Below are 2,723 nucleotides of genomic sequence, written 5' to 3'. Positions count from 1 at the left end.
GTGGGCCAACAAATGTATAGGCCAAATTGAATATGTCTGCAGGCCTGATTTGGCCTGCCAGTTTGTACTGGCTGCTTTATATTATGAATTCCCTCAGAATTTAAAAATGCTTACCACTCAAAATGATTTGGTGACATTTATAATGATCTGTACACATTTTATGAGAAAAAAACTTGAATAAGATTGCTTGTATACAAATTATAAACTACAGAACTGGCAACTCTAGTCATTTAGCACTTCAGGGCAAAGTAACTTCTTGACAGAATTTTTCACTTTTGTTTTTCTTTTTAAGAGATGGAGTCTTGCTTTGTTGCCCAGGCTGGAGTGCAGTAGCACGATCATAACTCACTGCTGCCTCCAACTCCTGGGCTCCCACCTTAGCCTCATGAATAGCATATGCCACCACACTTGGCTTATTTTTAACATTGTTTATATATTGTAAAGACAAAGTCTCACTTTTGACCCTGTCTGGTCTTGAACTCCTGGGCTCAAGCAATCTTTCTGCCTCAGCCTCCCCAGGTCCTGGGATGATAGGCATGAGCCACTGCTCCCGGCCACAGAATTTTTACTTCTAAATAATTGCTTTGATATCATGTAGATTCAGGCTAAATTATGTCTATACCAAGTCTTAACAACATATTTTCGAGGATGGGCTCTACCTGTGGAAGATTATTTTGGGTTCCTGCAGGATTATTATTGTTGGAAATATCATTTTCAGTTTTGACAATAATCATTAATAAAATGCATAAATCTTTTTTGTCCTTGTATCAAAATAAGTTTGTTAGCATATTTTTGAAGTATAACATAAATATTAGAAGGTTCATGAATCTTAAAGGTACAGCTTAGATGAGTTTCACAAAGTAAGCAACTTGATATCCAAATAATCAACACCCAACTCAAGAAAAAGATCATTACCAGAAAATAATAAACCAGCACATTTGGTGTATTATTACTCTTAATCTTAAAATATCTAGAAATGAGACTCCTTATAGCATACCTTAACTTTCTAAGAAGCAGGAACCACCCTGTGGAATGATTAAGTTAAAACATATTTTATTATTTTCTTTAATTTTCCAACTTTATTAAGCTGATCATTTTTTAAAGAAAGATAACTTTCTGAAGAATCTCTTAAAAATCATATATGAAAAGCCCACAGCTAAATCATAATCAATGATGAAAGACTGAAAGCTTTTCCTCTAAGGTCAGGAACAAGACAAGGATGCCCACTTTTGCCACTTCTATTCAACATAATCCTGGAAGTCCCAGCTGAAGCAATCAGGCAAGAAAAAGAAAGAAAAGGCATCCAAATTGGTAAAGAAGTAAAAATTATCTCTGTTCACAGATGGCATGGTCTCATGTGTAGAAAGCCCTAAAGAAGGCCAGGCACGGTGGCTCCTGCCTGTAATCCCAGCACTTTGGGAGGCTAAGGCGGGTGGATCACTTGAGATCAGGAGTTTCAGACCAGCTGGCCAATATGGCAATACCCCATCTCAACTAAAAATACAAAAATTAGCCAGGTGTGCTGGCACAGGCCTGTAGTCTCAGCTACTCAAGAGGCTGAAGCAGGAGAATCACTTGAACCTGGCAGGCAGAGTTTGTAGTGAGCCAAGATGGCGCCACTGCACTCCAGCCTGGGCAACAGAACGAGATTCCATCTCAAAAAACAAAGAAACAAACAAAAACCCTAAAGATTACACACACACACACACACGCACACAAACACTGTTAGAACTAATAAATGAATTCAGCAAAGTTGAAGGATACTAAATCAACATACAAATATCAGTTGTGTTTCTGTACACTTAACAATGAAAAATCCACAAGGAAATTAAGAAAATAATGCCACTTACAATAGTCTTAACTGAGGAGGCAAAAGACTTATACACTGAAAACTACAGAAAGTTTCTGAAAGAAAACATAAATTAAAAGACATCCCATGTTCATGAATTAGAAGACTTAATATTGTAAAGCTGTCCATACTACCCAAAGCAATCTACAGAGTTAATGCAATTCCTATCAAAATCCTAACAGCTTTTTTTGCAGAAATAGAAAAATTCATTCTGAAATTCATATAGACTCCCAAAGACCCTGAATAGATGAAACAATTTTGAATAAGAGCATAGTTGGAGGGCTCATACTTCCTGATTTCAAAACATATTATAAAGTTACAGTAATCAAAACAGTGTAGGACTGGCATAAAGATAGGCATACAGACCAATGAAATATAATACAGTACAGAAATAAACCTTCACACGTGTGGTCAAATGATTTTCAACAAGGGTGCCAAGACTATTCAATGGCAAAAGGACAGTCTTTTCTCAAAAAATGATGTTGAGGAAACCAGATATACACATGCAGAATAATGAAAGTGGACACTTACTGTATTAGGCTACTTGGGCTGCCATAACAAAATACCACAGACTGAGTGTCTTAAACAATAGAGATTTATTTTCTCATAGTTCTAGATGTTGTAGGTCCAAGATCAAGGTGGCAGCAGAGTTAATTTCTGGGAAGGCCTCTCTTTCTGGCTTGAATATGACCACTTTTTCACTGAGTCCTTACGTGGCCTTTCCTCTGCATGCACATTGAGAGGGAGCAAGATCTCTGGTGTCTCCTCCTCTTCTTATAAGGATACCAGTGCTATTAGATCAGGGCCTCACTCTTATGACCTCATTTAACCTTAATTGTCCCCTTAAGGGCTTTATCTCCAAATGTAGTCACAT

This window comes from Homo sapiens, chromosome 4 (genome assembly GCF_000001405.40).
Source record: "Homo sapiens chromosome 4, GRCh38.p14 Primary Assembly".
NCBI classification, from domain to species: Eukaryota; Metazoa; Chordata; class Mammalia; order Primates; family Hominidae; genus Homo; species Homo sapiens.
The sequence above is the reverse complement of the archived record's forward strand: the minus strand, read 5'-3'. Positions refer to the sequence as shown.